Genomic DNA, 16,984 nt, shown 5'->3' with positions numbered 1-16,984 from the left:
TTCACCCCACATCAAACCATGAAGAATGTCTTCACTTCCTTCTCTTTATCAGGCCTATTCACCTGTGCTCTCTCTTTGGAAAGCCCATGTTCCCGTTTGTCCTTTTGGGAGGGGTTCATTTGTTCAATTTTTAACAACACACTTGTGTCTCACCTAATCTATGAAGCCTTTCAAGAACATTGCCAGGTTTATCTGAAATCCTCCACGCCATACTAGTGGAGAGTTCCAGCAAAGCTCTGGTAACTCTGGTAAACTTACTTATTTGTACACTCATCTTCCTCACTAAACTGTGAATCCTTGACACACATATATACAGTCATGCACTGCATAATAAGATTTTGCTTGCATATACAATGACAGTCCCATAAAATTATAATGAAGCTGGAAAATTCCTATCATCTTATGACTTTGTAGTCCTCATGACATCATAGGGCAGCACGTTAATCACATGTTTATGTTGGTGCTGGTGTGAGCAAACCTACTGCACTGCTAGTCATGTAAAAGTATAGCACATGCAATTATGTACAGTACATAATACTTGGTAATGACCATAAATAACTGTATTACTGGTTATGTATTTACTATACATTTATCATTATTTTAGAGTGTACATTCCCTACTTTAAAAAAAGTCAACTGTGAAACAGCCTCAGGCAGGTCCTTCAGGCGGTAATTCAGAAGAAGACATTGCTATCATAGGAAATTTCACAGGAAGTAGGTAAGACATGTGAACCTGATGTTGAAATGCTGTCTCCTATGACAACTCCATGTGTGTTATTGCCCCGAAGACCTTCTAGTGGGACAAGATGTGAAGGTGAAAGACAGTGATATTGATGATCTTGACCCTAAATTAATGTGTGTTTGTGCCTTATTTTTTAACAAAAAAAGTATAAAGTTAAAAAAATAAAGTTTATAAAGTATATAAAGAAAATATTTTTGCACAGTTGAACAGTGTGTTTGTATTTTTAGCTAAGTGTTATTACAACAGAGTCAAAAAGCTAAAAAGAGTTTAAAAAGTTACAGTAAGCTAAGGTTAATTTACTTATTGAAGAAAGAAAATTTTCTTAATGAAGTGTAGCTTAAACATAAAGTGTTTATAAAATCTATAGTAGTATACAGTAATGACCTAGGCCTTCATATTCACTCATCACTCTCTGACTCATCCAGAGCAACTTCCAGTCCTGCAAGCTCCTTTCTTGGTGAGTGACCTATACAGGTGTACCAGTTCTTTTCTTTTATATTGTATTTTTATTGTACCTTTTATATGTTTAGATACAGAAATACATAACATTGTGTTACAATTACTTACAGTATTCAGTACAATAACATGCTATACAGGTTTGTTGCCTAGGAACAATAGGCCATACCATATAGCCTAGGTGTGTGGTAGGCTATACCATCTAGGGTTGTGTAAGTACGTTCTATGGTATTCACATGAGAAAATCAACAAATGATGCATTTCTCAGAATATATCCCCATAATTAAGTGATGCACAACTGTATCTTTTTACCGCAAACCCGGAGAAGTGTTTGACAGATGGTAGATACTCAAGAATGTCTCATGAATGAAGAATTAATTAATTAATGGATCCAAAATAAAGAACATGTGTGGAAAACTGAGGCATGCTTACCACAAATGAAGGGGTCAACTTCTACTTAGCAACAGCTGTGAATGCCATGATAAATGTGGGCCCAGTATTGCCAGCTCTTCCAATTTTTCAAGACAAGCAAAAAAATGTGATAAATGTGATTGTATTGTGGAAAATATTATAATTTTTAATATTTTCAAGTCCTTTAAAATTATTTAAAATCTGGCCTGGCAAATATAATGTATACTTTCAAGTGTGCAGTCTTTACCTGAGAAGAAAATCCACATTCCTTTGCATATAATCCATGCCTTTCCAAACTGGTACTTGCCTGCCTTTATTCTCAACTGGGCACTCTTGGCAATAACTTTCAGTTGCTATTTTAGTTTCGGTGTTTTGGTAACAACTCATTTTCTTCAAGACCATTTCCTCTTATGGGCTTCTCTTTCATTCTTTAATAGGAGAATTTCTCTCACATTTCAACCCCAGGTTCACATATCTTATCTATTTCCTATGAATACTTCTACTCTATAGAAAGAGACACTCTCTTCTCCAGGATCCAACAGAGCTCTGGGTGGATTTCTATTATTGTTCTTGACCCTGTATAGTATAGTCATTTGTCTGTGAGCTATTCCAAACCATTCTTTTATTTATATATTTTTGAAAAATGTGTTTAGTTCCTTCACTGTGCCAGATACTGTGTGGCTATTAAGGATTCAGATGTAAAATCAACATTCTCCCTGATTCCAGGGAGCATTCCATGTAAAAGGGACTGTATTTGTCTCTGAATCTCTGTCACTTTGCACCAAATGATAGGGACCCAGTAAATTTTATTAAATGAGTAAAGTATACAGTGCTAATTTTCTGAAGATTTATGATTAACAATGCACTGTGGAGGAAGCAAAAAATATATACTATGCTGTCTTGCACATAGCAGGTACCACAGGAATACTTGGAAATGTTAATAAGAAGTGAAGCCCTCTGGATTTTTATGATTTTCCTGGGGATATCTATATATCTAGCTGCATCTATATCTACATACAGATGTAGACATATAAATGGAAGATAATAATTGCATTTGAAGTCCTATATATAAAGTAGATTATAAGTGTTACAGAAGTTTCATATAACAAACGGTAACCACGGGATGGGGCAATTAAGGAAGAAATCAGTAAAGAAGTGGTTTCTGAGTTGTGGGTTAAAAGATTAATATGATTAGGTTGGGGGAAAGAATGGAGCTCATATTTATGGATACAGGTAGTGATGTAGGAATGGGCAAGATTTATTTGGAGGTGAGCCAACGGGAAGAAAAGAAGGGAAACAATATTTAGTGAACACCTTCTATGGACCATACGTGATGATACACATATCACACTTCATTATCTCATATACTTACCACAGCCAGGCTGTAAGCTCCATAAGGGCAGGGCCTTCTCTACTTGATTCATCACTGTATGCTTGCACCAAGCACCGTGTGTTGCACATAGTGGGCATTCATGAATATTTGCTAATAAAGGAATGGATGACCCTACAAAGGAGATAAAAATAAGCAAACCTAAGCTCCGAGATGGACAGTGACTTGCCTGATGTCCAGGCCAGTAGTTCTCAAAGCATGGTCCTTGGATTAGCACCATGAGCATCCCTGGGGAACTTGTTAGGAAGAAAAATTCTTCAGACCTACTGAATCAGAAATCCAGGTGCTTCTGACTCACACCAAAGTTTGAGACATACTCATGCAGGGTATCAAGTGACAGTGCAAGGTCTGTCTGGCTTAGAATCCTGAACCGTGGTCTGCCTATAGCCAAGAAATTATTTAAGACTACATTTTCCAAAGTTGGTTTTGTGGAACATTTTCTGCCCAATGTTAATAAATATTACTTGACAAAAAAGTTCCATGCCCCAGATATGTTTGGGAAATACTGCACTAAGCAAGGTAAAAAAGTTTCTTTACTGCAGAAATTTTCCAGGGTTTTGAAGTGCACTGTATTGTGAATTTCTGAGAAGGGAATATGATTTCCCAGTCTTATCTGAAGAAGAAGAGCATAGTAGTGAGTGTGGGCTTCAGTGGCTGACCACCTCAAATTCTGTCCTTATCATTGACTAACTTTGTGATCATGGGCAGTCAGCTAATAGCTATCTCTTAGTTTCCTAACCTGTAAGTGGACAATAATAATTCCTACTTCATGGAGATTTTGTGGAGATTAAATAATAGTGTAAGTAAATAATTTACCACAATTTCTGGTATACAGTAAGCTTGCAATAGATTTTAACCATTACAATTATTATTTTTTAAAAATTTTAGGTTCAGGGGTACAAGTCAAGGTTTGTCATGTAGGTTAGCTCATGTCATGGGGGTTTATTACACAGAATATGTTATCACTCACGTATTAAGCCCAGTACCCAAGAGTTATTTTTTCTGCTCCTCTCCCTCCTCTCACCTTTCATCCTCAAGTAGACCCCAGTTTCCGTTGTTACTTTCTTTGTGTTCATGAGTTCTCATTATTTAGCTCCCACTTTTAAGTGAGAACATGTGGTATTTGTTTTTCTGTTCCTGTGTTAGTTTGCTAAGAATAATGGCCTCCAGCTCAACTATGTTCCCACAAAGACATAATCTTGTCCTTTTCTTGTGGCTGTATAGAATTCCATGGTGGTTATGTACCACATTTTCTTTGTCCAATCTGTCATTCATGGGCATTTAGGTTGATTCCATGTCCTGGCTATTGTAAATAATGCTGCAATGAACATTTGCATGCATATGTCTTTATGGTAGAATGATTTATATTCTTTTGGGTATATACCCAGTAATTAGATTGCTGGGTAGAATGGTAGTTCTGCTTTTAGCTCTTTGAGAAATCGCCATACTGCTTTCCACAATGGTTGAACTAATTTACACTCCCACCAACAGTGATATGCATTCCTTTTTTTCAGCAACCTTGCAAGCATCTGTTGTTTTTTGACTTTTTAGTAACAGCTATCCTGACGGGTGTGAGATGGTACCTCACTGTGGTTTTGATTTACCTTTTTCTAATGATCGTGATATTGAGCTTTTTTTCATATGCTGTTGGCCACATGTATATCTTTTTTTGAAAAGTGTGTCTGTTCATGTACTTTGCCACTTTTCAGTGGAGTTGTTTTTCTCTTGAAAATTTGTCTAAGTTTCTTATAGATGCTGGATAGTAGACCTTTGACAGATGCATACTTCGCAGATATTTTCTCCCATTCTGTAGGTTGTCTGTTTACTCTGTTGATAGTTTCTTTTGCTGTGCAGGATGCTCTTAAGCTTAATTAGATCTCATTTGTCAATTTTTGCTTTTGTTGTGATTGCTTTTTTTGTGCTGTTCCTATGTCCAGGATGGTATTGCTTAGGTTGTCTTACAGGGTTTTTATAGTTTTGGGTTTTATATTTAAGTCTTTAATCCATCTTGAGTTGATTTTTGTATATGGTGTAAGGAAGGGGTCTAGCTTCAATCTTTTGCGTATGGCTAGCCAGTTATCCCCACACCATTTATTAAATAGGGAATCCTTTCCCCATTGCTTGTTTTTGTCATTTTAGTCAAAAATCAGATGGCTATAGGTGTGTGGCCTTGTTTCTGGGCTCTCTATTCTGTTCCATTGGTCCACGTGTCTGTTTTTGTACCAGTACCATGCTGTTTTGGTTACTGTAGCCCAGTCGTATGGTTTGCAGTTGGGTAATGTGATGACTCCACCCTTTACTTTTCGCTTAGGATTACCTTGGCCATTCAGGCTGTTTTTCGGTCCCATATGAATTTTAAAATAGTTTTTTTCTAGCTTTGTGAAGAATGTCATTTGTAGTTTGATAGGAATAGCATTAAATCTGTACATTGCTTTGGGCAGCATGGCCCTTTCAATAATATTGATTCTCCCTATCCATGAGCATGGGATGTTCTTCCATTTGTTTGTGTCTTCTTTGATTTATTTGAACAGTGTTTTGTAATTCTTATGGTGGAGATCTTTCACCCCCTTCGTTAGCTGTATTCCTAGGTATTTATTCTTTTCATGGCATTTGTGAATGGGATTGCCTTTCTGATTTGGCTTCAGCTTGGCTATTGTTAATGTATAGAAATGTTAGTAACTTTTGTACATTGATTTTCTATCTTGACACATTGCTGAAGTTTTTTATCAGCTGAAGGAGCTTTTGGGCCAAGACTATGGGGTCCTCTAGATGTAGATTCATGTTGTCTGCAAACAGGAATACTTTGAATTCCTCTCTTCCTACTTGGATGCCCTTTATTTTTTTTCTCTTGCCTGATTTCTCTGGCTAGGACTTCCAATACCATGTTGAACAGTAGCATTGAGAGATGGCATCCTTGTCTTGTGCCAGTTTTCAAGTGGAATGCTTCCAGCTTTTGCCCATTCAATATGATGTTGGCTGCAGGTTTATCATAGATGGCTCTTATTATTTTGAGGTATGTTCCTTCAATACCTGGTTTTTTAAGAGTTTTTTTTTTTTAACATGAAGGGATGTTGACTTTTATTAAAAGCCTTTTCTTCTGTTGAGATAGTCATGTGGTTTTTGTCTTTAGTTCTGCTTATGTAATAAATCACATTTATTGATTTGCATATGTTGAACCAACCTTGCATCCTGGAGATGAAGACTACTTAATCATGGTGAATTCGCTTTTTGATATGCCACTGGATTCAGTTTGCAAATATTTTGTTGGGGATTTTTGCATCAAGATTCATCAATGACATTGGCCTAAAGTTTACTTTTTTTCTTGTGTTTCTTCCAGGTTTTGGTATCAGTATGATGCCAGCCTCATAGAATGAGTTGGGGAGAAGACCCTTCTCCTCAATTTTTTTGGAATAGTTTCAGTAGAAATGGCACCAGCTCTTCTTTGTACGTCTGGTAGAATTCAGCTATGAATTCTTCTGGTTCTGGGCTTTTTATGGTTGGTAGGCTATTTATTACTGATTCAATTTCAGAGCTCATTATTTGTCTGTTTAGGAAGTTAATTTCTTCCTGGTTCAGTCTTGGAAGGATGTAAATGTCCAGAATTTATGTGTCTCTTCTAGGCTTTCTAGTTGGTGTGCACAGAGGTGTTTGTAGTAGTTTCTGATGGTTATTTTTATTTCAGTGGGGTCAGTGGTAACATCCCTTTTGTTATTTCTAATTGTGTTTATTGGAATTTTCTCTCTTTTCTTCTTTATTAGTCTAGCTAGCAGCCTATCTATCTTATTAGTTTTTTCAAAAAATAAACTCCTGGATTCATTGATCTTTTGAATGGTTTTTTGTGTCTTGATTTCCTTCAGTTCATATCTGATTCTGCTTTGTTGTCTTCTGCTACCTTTGGGGTTGATTTGCTCTGGCTTCTCTAATTCTTTCAGTTGTGATGTTAAGTTGTTAATTTGAGATCTGTCCAGCTTTTTGATGTGGGCATTTAGTGCTATGAATCTTCCTCTTAATGATGCCTTAGCTGTGTTGCAGAGATTCTGGTATGTTGTATATTTGTTCTCATTAGTTTCAAATAACTTCTTGATTTCAGCCTTAATTTTGTTATTTACCCAAAAGTCATTCAGGAGCATGTTATTTAATTTCAATGTAATTGCATGGTTTTGAGTGATTTTCTTAGCCTTGACTTCTATTTTTATTGTGTTGTGGTCCAACCATGTTTTTGGTATGATTTTGCTTCTTTTGCATTTGCTGAGGATTGTTTTATGTCAAACTATATGGTCTATTTTAGAGTATGTGCCATGTGGCAATAAGAAGAATGTATATTCTGTTGCTTAGCAGGAGAGAGTTCTGTAGAGGTCTATCAGATCCATTTGATCCAATGTTGACCTTAAGTCCTGAATATCTTTGTTAAATTTCTGCCTCAATTATCTGTCTAATACTGTCACTGAAGTGTTGAAGGCTCCCACTGTTATTCTGTGGGAGTCTGTGTCTCTTTGCAGGTCTCTAAGAGCTTGTTTTATGAATCTGGGTGCTCCTGTGTTGAGTGCATGTATACTTAGGATAGTTAGGTCTTCTTGTTCAATTGAACCCTTTATCATTATGTAATGTCCTTCTTTGTCTTTTTTGATCTTTGTTGGTTTAAAGTCTGTTTTGTTTGAAATTAGGATTGTAAACCCTGATTTTTTTCTGTTTTTCATTTGCTTCGTAGATTTTCCTTCTTCCCTTTATTTTGAGTCTATGGGTGTCATTTCATGTGAGATAGGTCTCTTGAAGACAGTGTACCTTTGGGTCCTTCCTTTTTATCCAGCTTGCCACTCTATGCCTTTTAATTGAGGCATTTAGCCTGTTTACATTAAAGGTTAGCATGGATGTGTATAGATTTGATCCTGTCATTGTGTTGTTAGCTGGTTATTATGCTGGTTTGTTTGTGTGATTGCTTTATAATGTCACTGGTCGGTTTGTATTTAAGTGTGCTTTTGTATTAACTGGTAGTGGTTTTTCCTTTCTATATTTAGTACTTCTTTATTTATTTATTTATTTTTATTTTTATTTTTTGAGATGGAATCTCACTCTGTCACCCAGGCTGGAGTGTAGTGGCACGATCTTGATTCACTGCAACCTCTGCCTCCCAGATTCAAGCAATTCTCCTGCCTCAGCCTCCCAAGTAGCTGCGATTACAGGCATGTGCCACCATGCCTGGCTATTTTTTTTGTATTTTTAGTAGAGACGAGGTTTCACCATATTGGCCAGGCTGGTCTCAAACTCCTGACCTTGTGATCCACCCACCTCGACCTCCCAAAGTGCTGGGATTACAGGCATGAGCCACCGCACCTGGCCCTTTATTTCATTTTATTTTATTTTATTTTATTTTATTCTGGAGACGTAGTCTCACTCTGTTGCCCAGGCTGGAGTGCAGTGGTGTGATCTTGGCTCACTGCAAACTCTGCCTCCTGGGTTCAGGCAATTCTCCTGCCTCAGCCTCCAAAGTATCTGGGATTACAGGCATGTGCAAAAATGCCTGGCTAATTTTTGCACTTTTAGTAGAGATGGGGTTTCACCATGTTGGCCAGGCTGGTATTGACCTCCCGACCTCAAGCAATCTGCCTGCCTTGGCCTCCCAAAGTGCTGGGATTACAGCCAGGACCCACCGCACCCAGCCTTTAGTAATCTTTTCAAGATTTCTTGTAAGGCAGGTCTGGTAGTAAACAAACTCCCTCCCTCAACATTTGCTTATCTGGAAAAAAATCTTATTTCTCCTTTGCTTAGAAAGTTTAATTTGGCTAGATATGAAATTCTTGTTTGAAGGTTTTTTCTGTAAGAATATTTGTTTCGTTTTTCGTTTTTTTGAGACGGAGTCTCACTCTGTCACTAGGCTGGAGTGCAGTGGCCCAATCTCGGCTCACTGCAACCTCCGCCTCCTGGGTTCAAGTGATTCCTCTGCCTCAGCCTCTCGAGTAGCTGGGACTACAGGTGTGCACCATCACACCTGGATAATTTTTTGTATTTTTGGTAGAGATGGGGTTTCACCATGTTGGCCAGGATGGTCTTGATCTCCTGACCTCATGATCTTCCCGCCTCAGCCTCCCAAAGTGCTGGGATTACAGGCATGAGGCACCACGCCTGGCCTCTGTAAGAATATTGAATACAGGCCCCGAATATCTTCTGGCTTGTAGAGTTTCAGCTGAGAGGGCTGCCGTTACCTTCATGGGGTTCCCTTTGCAGGTGACCTGTCCTTTCTTTTTAGCTGCCTTTAACATTCTTTCTTTTATTTTGACCTTGGAAAATCTGATGATTATGTGTCTTGAGGATAATCTTCTTGTGTAGAAACTTGCAGGGGTTCTTAGTTTCATTGGACTGGGTTTTGCTGTTCTCCTGAATCTTGATGATTTTCATTTCTATACATGTTCTGAATTCTATTTCTATCATTTCAGCCAACTCAGCCTGGTTAAGAGCTCTTGTTGGAGAATTGGTGTGGTCATTTGGAGGACACTCTGGCCATTTGGGTTACCAGAGTTCTTTCATTGGTTATTTCTCAACTCTGTGTGTAGGTGTTCCTTTAACTGCAGTGTAGATTCAGTATAGTTAATAGACTTCTTTTCTGATTCTTTTCACAGGGCCAAGGCTTTGTGCAGGGTCTTTATTTGAAGCTGACTTCTTGTCTTTGGTTTCATGGGGGGTGGGGGGCATGTTAGTGAGGTATTTTTAATGTTGAAGCTTTGGGATGTGATCCAGTAGGTGGCATTTAGGCATATTGGTCAGTTGGTAGACTCTTGCTTGGTTATTTGGCTCTCTTATGTTTCCTCACAGTTGCAGCTGTGTTCCCTCTCAATGCTCTGAAGGTGTGGGCTCCTCTCCCCATTGAGTGCTGGCTGTAGATTGTAGCTTGGTACTCCTAGGCTGCCCACTACTGCTCTGGGGCAATCTCAGGGTTTATGTTCCTCTCCTAACTTGGAGGCAGCAAAAAAGGGACCTTAGTTGTGGTAGTGGCCAAGGGTCTTTTGCTTGTTTCCTGGGGGTGCCACCACAGAGAGATGCAGGTCAGCAATTGCTCAGTACATTCAGCCCAGGATGGAGGGTCTGTGCTGTGGGCCTAAGCTAAGGGATCCCTATCTGGTGATGTGCAGTTGGGGGTGAGACCTGTGGTAGATGGACTGGCCTCCTCTCCTTGGGTCAACTGCAACTTGTTGGAGGTATGGATAAGACACTTGGGGTCTTTACTTCTTCATTAGTCCAAGGGTAGCAAGGGCAGTTCCCCAGCAAAGGCAGTGGCAGAAGGGCTTTAAGTTGTCCCTAGGGGCTCTGTCAATGGAGTTGCAAAGCTGCTATTGGCTTAATAACCCCAGCAGGGGGTGGCTGGAGGCCCAAGCCTAGATGATCTGCCTGGTGAGAAGATATGGGAACAGGCACCCAGGTAATAGTCTAGCCAGTTTCCCATAGAGCTGCTGTGGTATGCTGGGGGACCCCTCAAGTTTCTAGTCGCTTTGGATTTTCTAGTACCTAGCGAAATATCAAAGATGTTTGCCTGACCATCCCTCTGGAAGCTCCATCCCAGGGAGGCATAGACTTATCACAGGCCCAAATGCACCTGTAGGAGGTGGCTGGAGACCCCATTTGGGAGATCACACCCAGTGAGGAGAAATGGGATCACAGAACCGCTTAAAAATGCAGTCTGACCAGGATTTGGTAGAACAGCTTTGTTGTGCGGGGGGTCCTCTTTGGCCTCTGGTTGCCTCAGACTCTCCAGGGCCCCAAGGCTGGAATGGCTAAGTCAGCCAAACAGCAAAGATGGCAGCCTGCCCCTCCCCCTGGGAGTTTCATCTCGAGGAGGTATAATGCTGTTACCAGTGGCTGGCTGGAATTCCAAGCCAGAGCATCTTATCCTGTGAGGTGCTGTGGAAGCGGGGCCTGCTGACTGTCACTGTTCAGCCCCCTCGATTCAGCCCCTTTCCTAGGAGGATGTACAGGAGTCTAACCTCCTGCTTGCCAGAGTTGCAGCTGCTTTTGCGGGGAAGCCCAGAAAGCTTGGGTATCTAAGGCTCCTTGGTCTCCACATGTGCCTGAGTAGCTGCTCCTCCAAAACTCCATTAGCTCTGTGTGTCAGACGGAAGGCCCTGGTGGTGTGGGTTCATGAGGGGATCTTCTGACCTTGGGGTTGCAAAGATCCATGGGAAAAATGCGGGTTCCCAGGGTTGCACATTCCCTCATCAGTTCTCTGGACGGGGTAGGTTTCTCTGGTTCCACGTTGCTCTTGGGTGGACCATTGTCCTGTCGTGCTTTTTCCTATTCTCTGTGGGCCAGGTTGTTTCCTTGATTAGTTCCAATGCATGTACCTGGATATTTCAGTTGAAGGTGCTGTATTTACTCGCCCTTTCCATTCCTCTCTATGAGAGCAGGGCATACCAGCTGCTTCCAGTCGGCCATCTTGGCCACTCCCTACAATTATTCTTATTGTTAATATTATCAATAATTTTAGAAAATACTGCACATTGACTTACTCAACATCCATGTCAACCCCTCTCTAGGGTGCCTTCCTATGCTGGCTGGAAATCTAAAAACTGCCTTTGCCAGACAGCCTTGAGCTAAGGGGCAGAGTGTGACGTGGGTTATGCCAGGCAAACATTCTTAAATAAATTCTAGAAGAAAAAAGAGGCAATGAGAGGAGACAGCCAAGTAGGGTGATTGAATCATCTGGAAAGGGAAAATGGAGAACTATTCTATTCTTCTGGAGAAGACGAGGCAGAAGTTCTGGAGTCCAGTCTTAGCATCATAGGTACTCTTGGCAGGCAGCTGTGGTGGCAGTAGGGATATCTGCTAGTCTGACTACCAAACTAGTTGACAGACCAGTAGCATTGGCATCACTTGAGGGCTTGTTAGAAATGAAGAAGCTCAGGACATATGTCAGACCTACAGAATTGGAATCTGGATTAACCATGTCCCAGCAGATGTGTGTGCATATTAAAGTTTGAGAGGCATTGCACTAGAAGAGTCCTATGGGCCAGATCTATGGTATGGCTAGATATCTCCACTGGCTACATTTTAGCATTTCACATTGTTATCTAACATCATTTCATTAAAACTTTTTTTGTTCAAATTAGCTAGTATGGATTCAATTATTTGCAACTAAAAGTTGTGATTATATAACCACAGAAGTCTTTTTAGAGGGGAGGGAATTTTAGCATGTGACACTTTGCAAGCACTTTTGTAAAACAACAGAGAGGAAAAGGCCAACTTGTGTAATATGGGACCAGATTTTGGAGAGAAGTCCACTATTATTATCTTGAATCTGTTGCTCAGAAAGGCAAAGGAACCTTGCATTAGCAAGTGTAAAAATCCTCAACTGACAGAACTGGATTGTGTTTAAAACAATCTGGCAATTTTCAGTGGGGGCACTAATTTGCTTCCATGCACTTTGGATAAACATTTATTTCTCCATACAGAAAATGTACTTCGTATGTGCAAATTGTCTTGGTTAGTTATAGCAAGATGCTGAGGTCATGTTTTAGAAAATAACTTAAGCCAGTTGGGTCAAACGCACATCTTGGAATCTTCTTGGCAGAAAATAATAGGTCTAAAAAGTTCGGGGTGGCAGAGCACTAGCTGCTGTCCCCTAACTTTGCTACCAGTTTATCCTGAAAGCTAATCTCAGACCAAATTTTTCCATACCTATAAACATTTTTAAAAAAACAAATACATCATTGGCAAGCTGACACCAAAGAGTTCACGCATATGTTTTCTATAGTTGATCAAGCTCCAGATATTTGTCTTTTCAGGTGCTGTAAACACCATTTTGAATAAAAGATTTTTTATTTACCCTGAGGTAAACATAACAACTTTCTAGAGGCAGGGGTTTGTGACCCTTAAAGTCAACACCAGCCATCGAGAATCATCTCTCTTAGCCAATGCTTAGGAACATTTAGAGCTAAACATTTTAGCACCATTCTTAGACTATAGGCCTTCCTGAAATCTTATATCCTGTTAGGCCAGAGTGAGGAGAGTACAAATGTAAAAATGTGGGGAAATCACTCAAATATTTTTGCCAATTTTAATGCAGTTCACCAATGAAAGACCATTTCTAACAGACATCATGCTAGCCAACCATCAATTTCACCAATTAAAAACACTTATGGCATTTACTTTGCTAAAAATAATGAAGCTTTGGGATGGATTCAAACTATTGCTCTAGTAGCTGCCTCAGGAGTATAATCTCTTTGGTATGATGCTGGCTGATCACCTTTGTAGTACATATTCTTGACTAGAATGCTTGTGGAGGCCCTTGGGTTGTAACTATTAACCTAAGGAATACACACATAATTTCACATTATTTGTTTTGGCTAAATTACAATTTAAAAGTATGGATGTGGGTTTGTTTGGCATAAAGCAGTACTCTGGATTAATAGGGAAACCAGGCTCGAGTACTAATAAAGAATGTATTAATTTATTCCTTCTTTCATTGATAGGTGAGCCATGCATTGAGAGGGAGAGAGACAGAGAGAGAGAGAAAGGAAGAGAGAGAAAGACAGAGAGAAAGGAAGGAAGGAAGGAAAGAGAGAGAGAAAGGAAAGGAAAGGAATAAAAAGAAAAGAAACAAAGAGAAAAGAAGATGTGGTCCTAGAGTCGGCAGAAGATGCATAATGAAAATAACATGGCAGATATTATGGCAGATGAGCTCTAGATGTTGTCATCACTTCAACAATGGGTAGGTATAGGAGGGGTAGAATGAAATGGGTGATTCGTCCCTGAGGACATGACTTCCCCAAGAAAGTGATATGGGAGGTATGTTTTAAGAATGGAGCAGAAGATGACCAGTCCATACAGAGAGAGACAAAGTTGGGCAATGGTGTTGGTATTTAAACAATGGCAGTGTGCTTTAAAATCCACTTGAGTTATGGTGAGACCAATAAAGTTCTATTATTTTACATTCCTTGTCTCTCCTACTTGGCTCTACTTATGGATATAAAAGAATGAAAGAAAGTTGGATTTTTAGATGCTATAAACTAGAGTGCAATTGCTTTAGATTCAGAAAATCAAAAAAGATTCTTAGAACTGTTACTGCTATGCTGAAAACTCTTAGCTAGATATAAATCTGATTGTTTAACATCACTGGAGTTTTCCCCTTTGGGGAGGAAGTAAGGTAAAGGTTTTCTTGCGTTTTTTGATTGTTATTTGTTTTCAGTTATTCAAGATACCTAGTTCCTTATATCCACAGTTTCGTATAATGTATTCCTCAGGACTTCCTGTTCAGATCCTTATTCTGCCACTTACCATGCAACTGGTTTAAGTGCTTCAGCTTCCTAAACCTCTGAAGGGATAATGATATTGATTTTATTTATTATGAGAGTTAAATTAAATAATTTTATATAAAGTGCCTAGTCCCCTGCCCATCACCTAGTAGAGAAACTCAATATATGATAGTCACAACAGTATTACATTATAAATAATATTAATACAATTTAAAAAATTTTAATTTTTCATCGACTGTGACACTGTACAGGTGAGAAGGGGAGATTCACTTAGGGTGGTGGGAATTCCCTAGGCCAGGGGTCATTGAGCTATTGATTTATCCCGGCCATTGAGGTTCATTTTAGTTTCAAAACTGAGCTTACAAAGACACCTTTATGTGGTAGTGGCCCAACTTGGCAGCCCTGAATAAAGATGCTATTTTGCATAAATCTTGAAACTGCCCTATATTCAGACTCACCCTTCAGTCTTCCAATTGCTGGCAATCCTCCCCACTGCTGATTCTTAATTTTCTCCTGGCTTCCAATGGTCAGGCAGCTTCCAATGCTCTTGCAGGGTGTCTCCTGCAAGAACTTCCATTGCCTACCTCCATCACTGCCTTTCTGATCCAATAAAGTTATATTCTGGCCCATCCATAGATAGTCAATAAGGAATCCTCCTCCTTCCATCAGTGGAAAGAGTAGGCACTTCAAGGTCTGAAAAGCCTGGTATCCAGTCCTGGCCGTGAATGAACAGTGTGGCCTTGGGAAGGTTGCTTCACCTCTCTGAGATTCTTTTTCCTCAATTGTAAGATTAAGATAAAATATGCAGTTTAGGAATTATAGAGAGGATTGAGGAAGCTGATGCATGTAAAGCATCTTATACGGTGTTGGTACAGAGTAGATGCTCAGGAAATAGGTGGGTGATACTATTTTTATTGTCTTTATCATCATCATTATTTCTATTATAACTTCTATTATAATAACTTCTCTCTTGGCTAGGGTGAAAAATGCATAGGGGTTTGTATATATATATGTATGTGTGTATATATATATATATATATATATATATATATAAAACTGTTTTCTCATTATAGCTCATTTGTTGTTTTCACTTGATCCTTAGCACTTCCATAAAAGTCAGAGATCCAGAGTCTCTATACAGCAACTCCCTAAGAAATGGTGTCAGATGTGTGACACCTAGCACTTAGGCAAACATGATTTATTAAACATATCTTAAAGACAAGAAAAGCAAGTCATAGAGTATATGTGAATATTTAGGACATAGAATTCTAACATTCTAACAAGATCAGACTTTGAAAGGCAATTTGGTCTAAGGTTTAGAATATTTTAAAGAATGAGTTTTAAACTTCAGCCTACTTAACCTGTCAGAACCAATAGCAGCAGCAACAACACTATGAGGTTTCTCTTTCTTTCCTCCCATTCTCAAGGTAGTAGGGATGAGGAGAAGGTACAAGGATTAAGTATTAACATGAAAAGGACAGATCTAGGCCCAAGGCCTGAGAGGAGAGAAGGAGGGGATGTGGCTTTAATTAATTCCTTTTCCAACCAACCCCAAAGGCCTTTGAGAGAAGTGATAATAGAAGATAACCTTGGAAACAGCTAGAAAGATAGTTCTGTGGGAACTAAATGGAGATAGGGGCAAGCCTAAGGGTGAGGTGGCCAAGAACACCCCAAAAAAACCAAGCGTGGAACTTGCCCTAACCACAAACTGAGGAGAAAATGAAGATTTTCCTCTTTCCTTGTTTTCCCTATCAGCAGAGGTAACATATTTGTGTATATATATTGTTTTGCAGTCACAGTAGTTCTAAAACACACGTACAACCATTTTTACAGATTGTTGACTTTTCACAGAACTTAGAAATGAAAAGAGGAAGGAAGGCAGAGCTGATAAAGTACATTTACAGATGCTAAATTTAGATGGTTCCACCAGAAGTCCATCTTTCCACTGATAGGTAGATTAGGTGCCAAATGATATATTATAGAAATCAGACTAGATTACTTGGTCCTACTATGTTCCAAGTACATTATTAGAACCTTTATATATGTTGTTAATAAGATTCATAATAGCCATATGTTACAGGTATCATTATTCTCATTTGCAGAAATGGAGCTCCTGGGATAACTGACTTGCTTAGAGTAACACTACCAGCAAATGGTTCAAACTGTGGTCTGATTCCAACACCATTGTTCTTTCCTCTCATCATGCTGCATTTGGAGTCTAATCTTTGGAGATACAAGAGTAGCTTCAGCTATTAGAGTGATAGTGAATTTGGTACAAAAACCCTTATTTGGAAGTTGTTCCAGAAAATGATGCCAGGTCTTTTAGTTCAATGGAATCCCTCTCCTCCATTGTGTAGTTTCTCTCTCTTTCTTTCTCCTCCTCATCTTTTTTTTTTTCTTTCCTTACCTTTAGCCCATGTGACTTTCAAGGAAAATAAAATCCGTATGTTTTTATTCATTTGGCCTTAACTCATCAAAATATGATTTTGAGAGTAGATTTGCAGAGAAGTGCATTTTAAAGCCCTTTCTCCCTGGAAAACAGGATGTCTACTGTGGCCAAAATCATAAAAACTTCAAACTTTAAGTGTTAGAGTTCAGCTTAATACATAGAAATAATGTGATTTGAGGGAGCTGTAATTTTAGACTAACACTTTGCTGCAAGCCAAGTACTTGAGGATATGAGCCTACATTAGTGCTATCAAATGAAGGCCTTTTAGGTGCCCAGTTAAGTAAATTTCTTCTATTA

At 39.2% G+C, this 16,984-nt stretch overlaps 1 long non-coding RNA gene across 1 annotated transcript in view; it reads right to left on the bottom strand.

Moving 5' to 3' along the window:
• Positions 1-16,984, bottom strand: part of LOC105378737 (uncharacterized) — a 98,091-nt gene that overhangs the window by 38,324 nt on the left and 42,783 nt on the right. The window contains exon 3 of the long non-coding RNA XR_007067029.1: positions 2,981-3,112. This is a non-coding gene — a long non-coding RNA (uncharacterized LOC105378737). The remainder of the gene's footprint in view (positions 1-2,980; positions 3,113-16,984) is intronic.

Source organism: Homo sapiens, chromosome 1 (assembly GCF_000001405.40).
Source record: "Homo sapiens chromosome 1, GRCh38.p14 Primary Assembly".
NCBI lineage: Eukaryota > Metazoa > Chordata > Mammalia > Primates > Hominidae > Homo > Homo sapiens.
The sequence above is the reverse complement of the archived record's forward strand: the minus strand, read 5'-3'. Positions and strand labels throughout refer to the sequence as shown.